At 39.7% G+C, this 15,446-nt stretch overlaps 1 long non-coding RNA gene across 3 annotated transcripts in view, besides 1 other annotated feature; it reads left to right on the top strand.

Annotated features, from left to right (window-relative positions):
- Nucleotides 909–958: an enhancer, noted in NCBI's record as "active region_26486". NCBI's record gives its function as "activates an Ori minimal core promoter by ATAC-STARR-seq in GM12878 lymphoblastoid cells {active_cell/tissue: GM12878}" and the evidence as "EXISTENCE:reporter gene assay evidence [ECO:0000049][PMID:35858748]".
- The window catches only part of CTB-30L5.1 (uncharacterized), a 28,937-nt gene continuing 14,557 nt past the window's right edge, over nucleotides 1,067–15,446 (top strand). For 2 of the 3 annotated variants that reach the window (NR_187786.1, NR_187787.1), the window contains exon 1: nucleotides 1,067–1,160. This is a non-coding gene — a long non-coding RNA (uncharacterized CTB-30L5.1). Of the gene's footprint in view, nucleotides 1,161–8,231; nucleotides 8,365–15,446 lie in introns of all 3 variants that reach the window. The other variant, NR_187788.1, reaches the window with a different exon arrangement.

Here is a 15,446-nt window from a genome sequence, read left to right as displayed (position 1 = left end):
TCTATATTTTAATATACAGTTGGTAGCATCCTATCATCAAGAGCTCTCTATTTTAGCTCATAAAGACATTATTATTATTTTAGTGCAGTAGGAACACATAACTTGAGGTCTACCTTCTTAGCAAATTTTTAAGTGTACATGATAGTGCACCATTATTTATTAAACTGCTACATTATATTACTACTATAACTGCATGATATTTAATCAGTTCCCTATTGATAAATATTTAATTTGTTTTGGTCTATTACTATTTCAAGCACTGCTGTAATGAAAGTCCTTGCACGTATGTGTATGAATCAGGGTCCAGCAGAAGCAGATGGCACATCCCAAGCTTACCTGACGAGTTTAGTCATGGAGGTACTATTTACACAGGTGCTGGCAGGATGAATAGAACCAGCAATAAATGGCTAAACATTCAGGAACTCCCAACAGTGACAAGCCTTCACCACCCCAGGCATGAAGGGATAAGGGGAGGGAGCAGTGTTACTAGAAGCCAGTGAGACCATGGCTGTGGGAGAGAGGCCAGCCAAACGGAGCTACAGCCACATGGTGAGGAATGGAGCCAGTAGCCAAACTGCAGCCATCAGAGTAGGAGCAAGAGGAATAAATACCCTGACTGCTATCTCCTTTTGCTCTCTGGTTTTCTGCTGGTTCTTCCAGCTGCTGAATAGAAGTGGAAGTCAGAGGTTGGGGAAGCCCAGGTGATGCAGTCCATGGAGGTCAGTCTGCAAGGTACAGGGTAGGCAGGGAGAGGAAGGATAAATGGGGAATAATCAGTGTAATATGTTGTTACACAAATGTGCCATTAATCTAGTAGAAATTTTCCTAGAAGTTGAATTGTGGTGTCAGCAGGAAGGAAAGAGCTGGCCACATGTCCCTCAATCTCCCTTCTCCTCCTCTTCCATGGTAATACAATGCAAAGCTGTGCAAATGGCGGCCCAGAATTAAGACTACATTTCCCAGCCTCCTTTGCAGCTAGAGCAGTGGAACGGGAAGTGTCGCGTGACAGCTTCTGAAAAACTTCTCTGAGAGACAGATGACAAGTGCCTTCTGTCCTCTATTCTTTATTCGTTTTTGTACTTCACATGCTGCCTAGGGCCACACCCTTTTGGTGGTGAGTGGGGAGCTGGAAGGAGCCAGGTTCTTGAGGACTTTATAGGGTAAGAGCTGCCCTGCCAGTTCTAAGCTATATACCTCCAGATTTTATTTATTTGGGAGAGAAATTAACTTTTACCTCGTTTAAGCAACAGTTATTTTCTTTTCTATGTCAAGTACCTAAATCTAATCCTAATGAATATAATGGGTATAAAATTTTTGAATTTTTATGGGTGTTGTCAAGCTTGGTTTATTTAATTTAAAAATATCTAATTGACAGATAAAAAGTATATATATATTCAAGGTGTACAACATGTTGATGTGATACACATATATGTACACTGGATACTGATTACTACGATTACTACAGTCAAATTAATTAACACATCTATTACAACCCGTAGTTAACATGTGTGCGTGTGTGTGTGGTGGTGTGGTGTTTTAAGTTGAATTTTCCAGACTTTCTGGGTTTGAATCTCAGCTTCTCCATTTACTAGACATGTGATCTTGAACAAGTTTCTTAATCATTTTGTGCCTTAGTGTTCTCATAGTGATAGTGATAGAAACTACCTCATTTGGTTGTTATGAGGAGTAAATGAGTTAGAATATCTGAAACACATAGAACGTCTATCTGACATAGCTGATACTCAAAAAAAGTAAGCTATTTATATTATTATTACTAGTATCATTTTTAATTGTCCTCCAAAGAAGATGTACCAATTTGTCTATTCACTGTCTGGAAGTGTCTCTTTCTCTCCTTTCATCAATACTGTGCATTAGCAAAGATTTTTGTCCAGTAAATGAATAGTGATATTTCATTTTATTTTAAATTACCATCTAAAATTTTAAGGTTGAATATCTTTTTATATTTTTATGCCATTTATATTTATTTTCTGGTGAATTTTCTGTTTGTGTGCTCTGTTCATGATTTTTTTTTGAAATAACTCTCGAATGTATAATGAAAATTAGCCTTTTGCATGCTATGGGTGGGGCAAATATTTTCCCAAGTTTTTATTTGTCTTTGACATTATTTTTTCCATACATAAATTTTAACATAGTAAAAATGATCCTTCTTTTTCATTATAACATCTGAGCTTAATGAGAAAGGTCTTTCTCACTCTGGAGTATAAAAATAATTCCCCATGTTTTTTTCTGGAAGTTTATAGATTGGTTTATATCAAAATATTTTTCCATTTGGAATTTAATTTGGAGTAGACAGTGAAGAACGAGTTGAAGTAATTCTTCAGAAAGCTTGGTTGGAGGGTTGACAAAAATGAGCTATCTGACATATAAATCCTGCAGAAGTTATAGCTTACTGATCCGCACAATAGGTATATTTTAAACAAGTATGCCAGTACGCCCTGGCCATCGGGCATGCAGAAGTTTGCTGAGTTTGCCTCTTCAGCTTTCTCTTCTTTGTGGGAAACACATGGGTTGTTTGTGATCATATCTTGTGTTTCTAGAGTAAGGTCTTGCCAGGTCTAGCATAATTACTTAACCAGTTTGCAAAACTGCCTTTCACACATCATATCACCTGGTTCTCACGTCCAGGTAGTACACAATTTCTTCTCCTGCCAGCAGGGCCACCTTGCTATTCGTTCACAGGATAAATAATAATGCCACAGTATGTCATACCTGTGCTAACAATGACCCATCTGTGGACATGACAGTCAGGGACTACCTATGCTTCACAGCCAAGGAGGGATGGAGCCCAGCAAGCTGCACCAGGACCTGCCACTGGCCTTCATCTTTGTCTTTTTTCCAGGTAGTTTATGAGAACACAAGCTCTAGAGTAAAACCATTTGGCTTTGTACTTCCACTCTGCCGCTTTTGAACTATTGGTCCAAGCGCCAAGTTCACTTCGCCTTTTTGTGCTTTAGTTTCTCATCTGTAAAGTGGGGATTATAACATTGTGTGGGAATTAAATAAATAAATATATGTAAAGTGCTTAAAAATTGCTTGGCAACAAGTACTTAGTAAATATTAAAAGGGCTTTTCCCCAATCCAGAATATAAAATAATTCCTTTATTTTTTTCCTAGGACTTTACAGATTCATTTATATTAAAAAGTGCATAATATTTATAATAAATGTAACTATAATAAATGTATAATATTATAATAATAAAACATTGGTAAGAAAAAAGTGTTATAACTTTATGAATAGAATCACTATCATTTGAAGAATGCATTTGCTTCTAAATGTCACCTTTGTCATAACTGAATTTGCATATGTGTTTGAGTCTAGTTCTGGATTCTCTATCAATTCATTCATCTAGCTTAATCACAAATGCTTTATAATATGTTTTATTATCTAATAGGGCTTGCCTAATTCATTATGCTTCCTTTGTAGATTTTTTTTCTGGCTAAGCTTGAATTTTGATATTTATACAAAAGTCTTAGAACCAGCTGCTCTTATATTTAAAAAATCAATTAATATTTTATTGGGGTTGCAACAAATTTACATATTCATTTAGAAAGAATTGACAGTCTTACCATATTAGCTTTTCCTATTTCAATTAAAAATGCTCTTCATTTGTATTCAAGCTGATTTTGTTTTAAAATGTCTCTCGGAAAGTTTTTTGAAAGTCTTTTTTTTGTGTAGTTACTGCACATTTCTTAAGTTTACTCCCTCTCTCCTTCCTTCCCATCCTTTCTTTTTCTTCCTTCCCTTCTTCCCTTTTTCCTCCTCCTCTTCTTCCTCTTCCTTTTCCTCTTCTTCTTTTATGGTAAATAGCACCAATTCTTTTATTATGTTTTCTGATTACTTCTTGTTTGTATAGGGAAGAACTATCAATTGTGACTTTGTGAGTTTGTGTTCCACAACTGGATCAGAAAAATGAATGAAAATCATCTAACCTCACCTCCCTCGTTGCAATTACGTATAATCATATGTTGGAAGGAGATAAACTGAGTCAAGAAAATAGCTGTTTTAGAAGAGAGGCCCCAGAAGGGAGAGGCTAGAGAACAAGTAGGGAGGGAATAATTGTGACTGAGAAAAGGGCTGACTGTGAATGAAGTGATTGGAGCAACCCTCCACAAGCGCGTTGATGAGTAACAGTGCAGATCAAAAATGGTTGCATGTGCCCAAAAGTGTACATAGGCAATTCTATGGTGTTTGATGCTTCCTATTACTTTAAATGATTGAATTAAAACTAGATAAATGAAGCATTCTACTCAACAAGATAGATATATAAATCAGACATTATTTATAAAACTAATAGCATTAAGAGATAAATACTGGCTTGTTGGGGAAAAAATCCAAAACAAAATTAATAAAATCAAAACTAGGGTTTTTTTTTAAAGAAACAGAGAGAAAATTCAAATAAACAAAAGAAGTAAAAGGTGATTACAGTATAAAGCTTCTTATTATTTAAAAATATATGCCAATAAAATAGAAAATAAATGAGTTTTGAGAAAATGTACATAACAAATTTATTATGGAAAAGTAGAAAACTAATTTACAAAAAACCATGGAAGAAATCTGCTTAATCAAGGAATTTCCTCCAATAAAGATTCTGGGGTCAGCTATTCAAGTCATTTTCTTAATACCAGTATAACCCTGATGCCAAAGAGGCCATGTATAAGACCCGAGTGCCAGATGGCCTGGTTTGGTTCTATTTAACAAACACTTGATTTTGTTCTTACTCAGTGCCAGGCAAGGTTCTGAGATTTCACAAGTATTAATTTACACATTACTCCTAAAACCCTATGAGGGAGGGATAACTATTATCCTCATTTTACAGATGAGCAAACTGAAGAAGTGAGAGGCTAAAGAACTTGTTATTCAGTGTCACCCAGGTGACACATGATGGCATGGACAGGTGGCATGAAATAGTGCCCTAAAGCATGTCCTCCAGCACCAAACTACCTGAGTTCAAATCCTGGCTCTCCTATGTTCTAGTAGTATGACCAAGGGCAAGATATTTAATCCTTTTCTGCTTCAGTTTCCATAGATGAAAGACTGAGAAATAAATAAAATAATTATTTAAAGAACTTAGAACAGTATCTGGAACATAGCAAACATTTAATCCTTAAACATAATGCTAGTATTATTGTTATTATTACAGAGACTACATAAAAAGATATCATTACAAATTATAAATGCAAACTGAACTGAATAATGCAGTAAAGGAATTACCATGGCCATGGCCAAATTGAGTTTAACTGAGGAATACAAGGATGTTTTATTCATCACTTTAATATATCCAGTAAGAAAAAAATATATAAATATATAATGCAATCATCTCAACAGACCATTGTAACACTATTTCTAAAGCAAACAAATAACAAATCTTAGGCAACCAAGAACACCAAATTTTTCCTAAACATGATAAAGAATATCAATATTAAATAAGCCAACATCATATCCATGCTAAATTACCTGGAACTGAGGGGCGGGTCTCAATCTCTGAACATAAGCATCACCTTGGGAGTTTTTAAAAATTACTGTTGCTTGAGACCTACTCCAGACCAATTAAATCAGAATTTCAGGGGGTTGGGACTCTGGCAACAAAGTAGGAATAACTAGCCTAAAAGAAAGCTAATTAAAATCAAGAACTAAGTAGGATGGGTACCATGACAACTTTTATGTAACATTATTTTGGAAGTTCTTGGGCATACACCAAAACATGAAAAATTCTGACAAGGAGGAGAAAAAAAAAATCATCATTTGTATCCAGTGTGATCATGTACTTGGGAAATGCCAGTAAAATAGACTGAAAAACTTGGAAAAAATTTTAAGATAATTTACTCATCTATAAAGGTAGCTTTCCAATGTATCAACAATACAAGTTAGAAGATGTAATGATAAAGATTTCATTTAGATTAACAAAAAGAAAATAGAACTAACCAAAAATATGTGGAACTTAGATTAAAGTTATAGTAAAACTTAGTTTTAAGAATATATCCTGGGTCTGTGGTTTTCAAACTGTGCTTTTGGGAGTCCAGGGCAAAGGTGACTTGATGTGCAATGACAAATGGATCTAAGAGGACCACAGAACCCCTACCCCTGCTTTAATGGAAGCAGCTCTGTTTGTTTTTTTTTTCAGTGTTGACCTTCTGCATGCAATTGTACTTGAAGGAAAGTTTGGGCTATGAACAACAGCTTAATGTTTAAAAACCTTTAGCCTAAATAAAGTGTTTATTAAGAATATCTGGTTCCCTTTGGTATCCATTCAGTCACTTGTTCTATATTTACTGAAGATCTACAACATACAAAATTTACATTTGTTGAGTACCAGCTAGGAGCCATGACAGTGTTAGCTTCTTTATGTATTTTATCTCGTCTAATCTTTGCTGGTACCATGGGTGGAAGGTATTATTTCCATTTTGCAGCTAAGGAATAATGTTCAAAGTAAGGAACTTGCCCAAGTCTCACAAATAATGGTAACTACAGCTATAATTTGAAAGTATTTCAGCCTGGCTTTAGAGCTGTTTTTCTTTTCCCAACAGACCACACCATTTCTTAGCAAGTAGGAAATAGTGACGGCATTTCAGATCGTGGTAATAATTGCACTGGTGTTCATGACCCATTGAAACATTGATGAGGATGTTGATGTTGATGGCTGTGGAAAAGAAAATGAAGGAGATGTTGATATGAGTGAAGGTGATGCATATGGGATGTGTGTCATTCTGGTGGCAGAGGTGGAGCTGTTCTCTCTGATGGCTCATCTGTCTGTCATGGCAGGAGCCAGAATTGGCTTGGACTCCCTGGGCCAAACACCTTCTGTCCAGAAAAGTAGGTCTGACTGTGGGTCTGGAGAGTAAAGGACCTATTTGAGGGAGAGGTGTTAAAGAAGAGGAGATGTGGAGTGAGGAGACTCAGGTTGAAATTGAGTCACCTGCAAAGATTGCTTGGGCAGAGCAGGTAGCATGCCTAAAAATACTTTCTCCACCTGTGGCAGTTCTCAAAATTACCGAGTTCCTACACTGATTGCACTTGTGCCAGTAGACACACACCCTGCCATGTGCTTAAGTGGAAAGAATGAAAGCAGGTGGTATTCTGACCACTGATTGTATTAGTCTGAAACTTTGGAATTAGGTCAGACATGCTTTGCTTAGTGGACACAAATGTTCTTATTCAAATAGTATCTTTTGTTGTAATTACTGACATAGAGTTTGTGCCAAGGTCTGATCATTTAAAAAAATTATCCATTGAAGTTATAGGTTCACAGAACTGAGCCAATAAACCTTAGTCTGTAGTAACTGAACCAATGCAGAGGACCCCAGAGTATCCTCAGATCTTGCTTAAAGCAGCAAGTCCTCTTATCTTCACTACAATATGACACAAGCAAATTTATGGAACACCAACATGTTCTGATTAAACAACAATATGAAATAGAAAACATGATGTCATAGACTCCATGAAATAAAAGTTCTCATTTTTAATGAGATCTGTGACCATTTCAGACCTACATGAAGTTGAAATAAATATTATGGAAAACTGTAAGTAAGAACTAACCAATCATGGTGTGAGGAATCAGAGGTGACTAGATGATTTACTTGTATCTCAAGCAACATAATCCTAATTTAATAACTATTCACATACTCCAAGCAACAGAATAAATGCTTATTCTATGTGACATAGTGGTTTTTTCTATGCAAGTGAAAACGCAGCACACACACACAAATTTTGGACTGAAAATAGATTATTAGCATTATAATTTATGTAAATTATGCTCTATTCATGTGAAGAAAATTGGTATCTCTTAGTCTTATGCTAATTATTGCATAGATTATAAATAATTATGTAAGATAATTTCATTCTCTAGCTAAAACTCTATGTGTTTAAAGGTTTACTATTTTATATAAAACCTAAAAAGAATGACTCATATAAGTTCCAAAGCTTTGAAAATAAAAACCCTGCTTGGTGTTCTAAAACTTTTATTTCTTAGGGTTCGATAAGCCTAAGATATCATTAAAATCCAGAGCAGTAGTTTCCAACATTATTGGAATGTATTAAACGTGCTTGTCCTCGTGGTACTCCTCAGGAGGAAGAATGGGTATAAATATCTCAAATGTGAGTGTGCATCATGATCACCTGGGGAGCATGGTAAAACACAGATTGCTGGGCTCCACCCTCAGAGTTCCTGATTCAGTGGGTCTGAGCTAGGGGTCAGTAAATTCGCATTTCCCAGGTGATGCTGATGCACTTGGTTCCAGCGCCCTGCTTTGAGAAGCAAGACTCAAGAGAATGGGTATGGACTTGGATCTGGAGGTCTGGAAGAGAAACTGGATTCAACAGGCTTGAGGGGCCGTCTTCCTTGGACGGTGAGTGGGCACAGCCCATGTGGAGGGTCTCTGGTGCTTCGTCTTTGCTTTTTCCGGGTTTTTGTAGGGACCTTGCCAACCCGGGACTTCTTTCATGCTCCTTTATCCAATAGTTGTTTGCTTGCTCCAACCTGGGCAAGGGAAGGTCTGTGTTTATGAATTCCATAGGAACCTTTTGAATTCCAACCTGGACCCAGGCCAAGACAGGCAAGTTTCTATGCAGTCTTCCTGTGCCAGTGGATGGAATTTTTTCTAGTTGCCTCTTTCCACTCAAGTTGTACTTCTTCAAGGGTTCTAGCTTTAGATGCAAGTGTTTTGTTTTCTGTTAATTTCTGCTTTTTTTTGTCTTTTTTTTTTTTTGAGATGGAGTTTTGCCCTTGTCGCCCAGGCAGGAATGTAATGGTGTGATCTTGGCTCATTGCAACCTCTGCCTCCCAGGTTCAAGAGATTCTCCTGCTTCAGCCTCCCGAGTAGCTGGGATTACAGGCGCCCACCCAGCTAATTTTTTTGTATTTTTAGTAGAGACAGAGTTTCACCATGTTGGCCAGGCTGGTCTGGAACTCCTGACCTCAGTTGATCTGCCTGCCTTGGCCTCCCAAAGTGCTGGGATTACAGGCATGAGCCACCGTGCCCGGCCAATTTCTGTTCTTTATAACTTCCTTCACTCAACCTTCATTGGATTTCATTTGCTTTTCTTTATCCAATTTTTCAACATGAATGATCAGTGCTTTTTTTCAGCCTTGCTGCTTTTCCAATACATTTATGTTGGCATTTAAGTTTCAGCTTTCTAATTGGAGCTGGCTCAAGGCTTAGTCTTGTTTTTCTGAGTGGCTTTTAAAACCCAGCCTCCTTGGTTGGGATCAGTCAACTCGGTAGGCCAGACAAAGCTATTAGGGCTTATCTGACTTCCTTTGCCTTCAGCTTCTTCCTGTTGTTTTCACTCCTAGGAAATTCCTTCTCTTTCTCACCAGCTCAGATTTGCTTTTACAAGTCTGCTTGTTGTTCTTGATAAATCAGTTCTAGATGTTTTGCAGTAAGAGGCTTTTTGGGATATCCATTCTGTCATATTTCTAGAAATGGAAGTCTAGAGATGACAACACTGAGAGATTGTGAGAATAAAATAATGCCTGTAAAGCCCTTAGCTCAGTACTTGACACATAGGAAATTCTTGGTAAATTCTAGCTGCCCGTTATTACCATTATTATGTTTGCATACCTAGATCTCAATGGATTACCAGCAGCAGAGGTTAAAAAATTGAGTCCTAGGCCAGGGGCAGTGGCCCCTGCCTGTAATCCCAGCACTTTGGGAGGTCGAGATGGGTGAATCACTTGAGGTCAGGAGTTCAAGACCAGCCTGGCTAACATGGTAAAAATCTATCTCTACTGAAAATACAAAAAATTAGCTGGGCATGGTGGCACACACCTGTAGTCCCAGCTAATCAGGAGGCTGAGGTGGGAGAATTGCTTCAACCTGGGAGGTGGAGGTTGCATCGAGCCAAGATCATGCCACCACACTCCAGCCCAGGTGATGGAGCGAGTTAGGAGGCAAATCCTGCCAGGAGGACTAGTTAGTGATGGGAAGGGAAGGGATCATGATAAATTCAAATTTTAATGAAGATTGTGATAACTGGTTGAGGATATATTATGTTTTCCGAATAGACATAGAAAATAGACTCGATAAAATTCTTATGCAGACGGAATAATCCTGGAATCAAATTTGGAGCTACCATATACAGCTGCTGAGGCTCAGTGAGCACAACTCTAGAGGCACCATTCAATAGACCAAGATGTCACAGTGACTGTGACCAGACTGAGGACATGCTCCTCCAAAATGTGCTTGGGTATGCATTTTGGCAAAGTTAAAAAGGAAGCAAAGATGTGGAAATGAGCTAGACTTTTTTGTAAGGGAGTAATTAAGAGTGTTCTTGCTGCCTCACAGGTACACACCCTATGTTTAAAATAATGGCTGAAAAGGAATGCTTAGTGTAGTTTTCTGTTTGTTTCCCACTGACATTGCTTTATCTCAAAGCCCTAGGAGTCCCCTCATGAATCAGGTGGGTACAATCAAGTTGTATTCAGGCCATCAAAACCACGTGAGGCGGAAGAGCTAACTACGGGTTCCTGGCGCCATGTGGCTCCTCTCCTAGCTCTCCCCTTTGTCTCTTCTCTTGTTGCCTCTCTGCTGACCACTTTCTCTTGTCTCCAGCAGTGAACACCAGCCCCTTCCTGTACCATGTCATATGGCAGGCAGTTCTTGGAGCAGCTGTTCTCTTCAATTCTGGCTGGCCATAAGTCCTTTAGAGCTAGGCAGGCCCCCACCTTTTAGAACTAGGTATCAGGCAAATCATCAAGACGGGGGAACTAGGAAACAGGTTGAGCCTGTTCACCATCATGTGGAAGCCAGTTATCAAGATGAAGGCACAAGGCTCAAGTAGCAAGAACAAAGAAGCCGAGTCACTCTATCTGTTGTTGCATAGACTTCTTAGGTTTACCCTACCCAGGTGCGGGACTGTCCCATGCCTGAGCATGGTGACGGCGAGGAGGGGAGGGGTCTGGCTGCAGGAATAGGAGGGATGCAGACCTAGGAACTGGCAGCCATTCCCAGGGCTCTCTGGCTGGAGCATCATGATTCTCTCTTCTGCCCTGGACTGAGTTAAGCAAGGAGCAGAGGCCTCGATCTCTCCCCTTGAGCACCTCCTCTAACCAGAGTCAGAGGAAGCCCAGGAAGCTGGGAGGGAAAGCCCTATACAAACTGTCACCGTGGTTCTGCCGCACAGAGCTATGGGTCATCTGGGAGAGACTGAGTCTTCCTCTCCTGAGAACTTCAATGTGAAGCCTTTCAGTAAGGAAACAGCTTTTCTTTGAAGTCAGAGGACAGCTATCACCCAGTCATTTGTGAAGCAGATGAGAGCCACATGCTCCAAACCCTCTGGGCCTTTGCTATAGGAAAGGAGGAAAAGCGAAAGACTGATTAGCATACTTGAAGATGCCAGACCTGGCCCGCACTGCCACAGTTAGTCCATTATCTTTCTCCTTCTCAGTGCTACACAGAGTCAGCCAGTGAGACAGTTAGGTGACCAGGCTTGGAGCTCCATGTGACCTTGGAAACACAGGCCAAGCCAGGAGATAGCCCACAGAGGAATACACACGGCCATCCTGTGAAGACCTCACCCCCAGGATGGCGTTACTACAGTCTCACAGATAAAATACCCTCATTACTCACCTGTCCTGGTGCTGCTGCTTGCCTACCCGTTTGCCTTTTTCAGTAGACACTGGGAGTCTAGAAGTTTGAGAAAGAGGATGGGGCAGGTGCTGGGGTCCCTGGTAATTCTGTTCCAGTCTCTTGAGGTCCTACTAATAGCACATGAACTATGCAGGAAGAAAAGAGAAGGAAATGCATAGGCAGGCCCCATCCAGGGTCCTGGTCAATAAATACTGTGAATAAAGGTTTTTAAAAGGAGAAAGGAATTCTACAGTGTATTCAGGATCTAAAGATTATGTTCATCAACAAAGCAATCAGATTGCAAATTAGTTGTACTGTTAAGTTATACACAGGGTAATTAAAATTAATTTTTGTAGAGCATTTTAGCGAGCCACATACTGTATTTGATGCTCACAATAACTGCCATTTAGAAAGTGTTTACTGTGAACTCGGCCATTTATGCAAATGATCTCATTTAATTCTCACCATCTCTCTATGAAGAAGGCATTGTTATTATCCCCAACTTTATAGATGTAAGAACTGAGGCTTGTAAATGGCAAATAACTTGTCCAAGGTGACACACAGCAAGTAGTCAGAGGTGGAACTCTAATCCAGTTCTGAGTTTGCCATCCAAGCTTTTGACCACGATGCTAAACCACTGCACAGCAGACCTGGCAGGTGGAGACTAATAGCTGGATTTTCTTTCATGGGAATGGAGATCGTGGTTTATAGTAGGTTGAACTATATGAAGTGGCCGACGTTCTACCATTTTTGACTTACAAAAATGGCGATGTCACATGCTACAACTTAATAGATGTTAAGTGAATATCATCCCAGGCAATAAGTGTCCTCTTAAGACCCTAAACTCCTATTCTTTCTGCTCCTCCACTCATTCTAGGAGTAAATGTCTGGGAGTAAACAGCCCACTTAGTAGGGGTGGGTTGTTGTGACAGACACATGGTCCCATTTATAAAGAAGACCTCGAGAAGAGTCTTTTTGATTTTTAGATAAGGCTCTCTGAGATTGTAGAGAATATTCCTGGACAGATCAGGAAAGACTTCCAATCCAGACTCTAGACTGAGGGAGTAGCTCCCACAAAGTCACTGAGGTAAGGAAGAGCTGCGCCTTCAAGGGGCTTTAGGTCACTGGGCTTGGCTAGAGCATAGGACTTTGATTATAGCATGTGGGAACATTGTGGGGTACATCACAAAGTGCTTGGAATTATTAGAGGCTGGATTTTATTTCCTACAGGGCAGCATTTAGATATTGTAGGCGCTGTGGTGACACACTCAGATCTGTGCTGAGAAGACCCTCCCTGCATGTGTGTTCAGGATGGGTTAGAATGGGATACCTACAGCAGGGACACCAGTTATGAGAAATCCAGGCAAGGCAGGAAGAGTGCCTAACCAAAGAGGTAGAGGGGACAGAAGACAGAAATGATTTGGGACTATGTAGGAGGCAGAATTGAGAGACCCTGGTAACTGATTGGAAGCAAGGGATAATCTATAATTGATGGGCGTGTTTAGAAACTACAGATAGATCCTCAGCCTCGCCACATCTTATAAACACTGTCACTCAAACTCCCAGAAGAGCGAAGGATGAATCCTCTACAAGAACGAGCTCCAGGCCAGTAAGAGTTATGTCCTCTTTTTAAGAAAGATGGGAACACGGTAGGAATCTTCCAACCTGGACATTGATTACCAGAAGAAATCTTTCCACTCACGACATGGCCAACATTCTGCGGTATACACTGAGCTCACATAATGGCCAGCCTCCATTTTTATTGCGGATTGCCATGCTTTATAGGTTATCAAATATTTTGATCACCATCCCTGTGTTTGCACCAAGAGGACAAACTAATCGTATTGATGTGAGAAGTACTATGCAAGGATATGTACATTCTTAATCCTTAGTTACTCAGTGGAAAACATACGTTTGAATGTCCCTAAATCCTTGGGAGGAAAGGATGGTTAGGCACCGGAATCTAAGGGCAAGGTTTGCTGGATGATATAAAATGCCCAGGGAAAAGAGGAAAGTTCAAGAATAGCTCAGCAGGGTCTTGGTTCTTATTTGATTTCTGAAAGAGAAGACAGGTCTAGCTCTGCTGGAAACAGCCTAGACACTGTGCATGCCAGTTGCTGTGAGGCCCCTGTGTAAGGAGTCACCCTGGACCTGTGCAAACTGTTTCCAACCTTAAGTTAGTGTCTGCAGTATTCCAGCCTCCCCACAGGAAGTGGCAGGAGACTTTATGGATGGGTTTATCTCACTGCCCAACAATTTAGTGAAACACAACAGAAAAAGCTATTTTGTATATACCTAAAGGAAAGTTCTGGGGAACGTTTCTTGGGGTAGTCGAAATCAAAACCCAACCTCCTGAAAGAAACTTAGTCTGCTTATAAAATTAAACACACACAAAATTCGCCACATAGCCCTTCCCTATTTGAAAGTGAGTTAGAAGGAGGCTATGTTATCATTCGGCATGCCCTTTAGCCAGCTAGCAGAGCACATTCCTGAAAGGTAGACCAAAAAAGAATTCAAGCCCATTTAAAACCTATTCTTGGAAACCTGTATTTCTCTCCCTCATATGGCTTATATAGCCTAATACAAATTTTTAGAGAGCTTGAATATAGGAAGATGAATTTTTAACCAACTCTCTCAAGCAGCCTAGTAAAAAGGTTTCCAAGGCTGGGAAGACAGATGCATTAATCAATAGCTTTCAAAGTTGCAAGACTCCCAGCGATAATCAGAAAAGACATCTGTCAGCAATGGTAAACCGCTTGATGGGAGCGGGAAACAACGTCAACTACCAAATTAAATCATTTCAAAGATTTCTGTGTTGGAAATGCCTCATGGTCCATGTCCCCCATGATTTAGATGCCTATGAAATGACAGAATCTAAGTGCTTCTGAATTTTTCACATTTCACCCTGTCTCTGTCTTTGTCTTGCTCGGCTCTTCTGTTTCTTGGTATCTGTGTTTCTGGAGGTGTGGATGTGTTTATCACACACACAGGCAAGAATTCCTCAGGTAAGCCAATTGTGGACTTGGTTAAAGACTGGCCTTCATGGGAAGCCTTTGAATATAGTAAAACCTGGAACTGGGGAGGAGTGAAGCCAAAGGGTGGCTCCAGGTCCCAGGACAGCTCGACCTTGCCCTTCATGTGCCCTGTAAGTATATTTAGGGCTGTGTGGTCTATAGAAGTGCAGTCCCTCAACAAAGATAAGATGAGGTTAGAATGTGTCAGAATGTGATCTTGATCTGTCATCCCCCAGTGGGCCCTGTGTTCCCCAATTCAGAACCTTAGAATAGAATGACTAATGCCCTAGAAAAGAAGATTTATTTTCTTGGATGCAAATGTACGGCACCCTCATAGTCCCAAAGGGTCCCCTTTCTCTTCATTCTTTCCTGTTTTAGGAGGAACTTTCCTGCCCCTGAGATACATAATCTGTAGTCATTTGGAATGTATTTTTTTTCCCTTGGACTGATGGAATAAAGGATCATTGAGTAAAAATGAAAATTATATTTCAAGGACATTGTGGGCTAGAATAGGTTGTATTTATTGACCTAGGAAGATAGCCAGTCGAAATGTTTGTGAGAAATTGCTTTCCAGATTACAAACAGCCAATATATAAACATAATTGGGAACCGAACTCACTGGAAAGTTAAGATGTTACTACTGTCACATAGTAGAAACTTATCACATGATATTAAGCATTCTATGACAGAGATTGCTAGTTGTCTTCCAAATGCCATAGTAATTGAATTTAAGCTGAGCAAATGGCCTCAGAGATTCCGTTTCTGAGCCTTCCTTGCAGCTGGCTGTGTTAGCTAATTGGTTGAGGTGATAGCAGTAGCATTGCTTGCCTTTTCTTCCCCCTCCTT

The sequence above is a fragment of the Homo sapiens genome, chromosome 7, assembly GCF_000001405.40.
Source record: "Homo sapiens chromosome 7, GRCh38.p14 Primary Assembly".
Taxonomy (NCBI): Eukaryota; Metazoa; Chordata; class Mammalia; order Primates; family Hominidae; genus Homo; species Homo sapiens.
The sequence above is the reverse complement of the archived record's forward strand: the minus strand, read 5'-3'. Positions and strand labels throughout refer to the sequence as shown.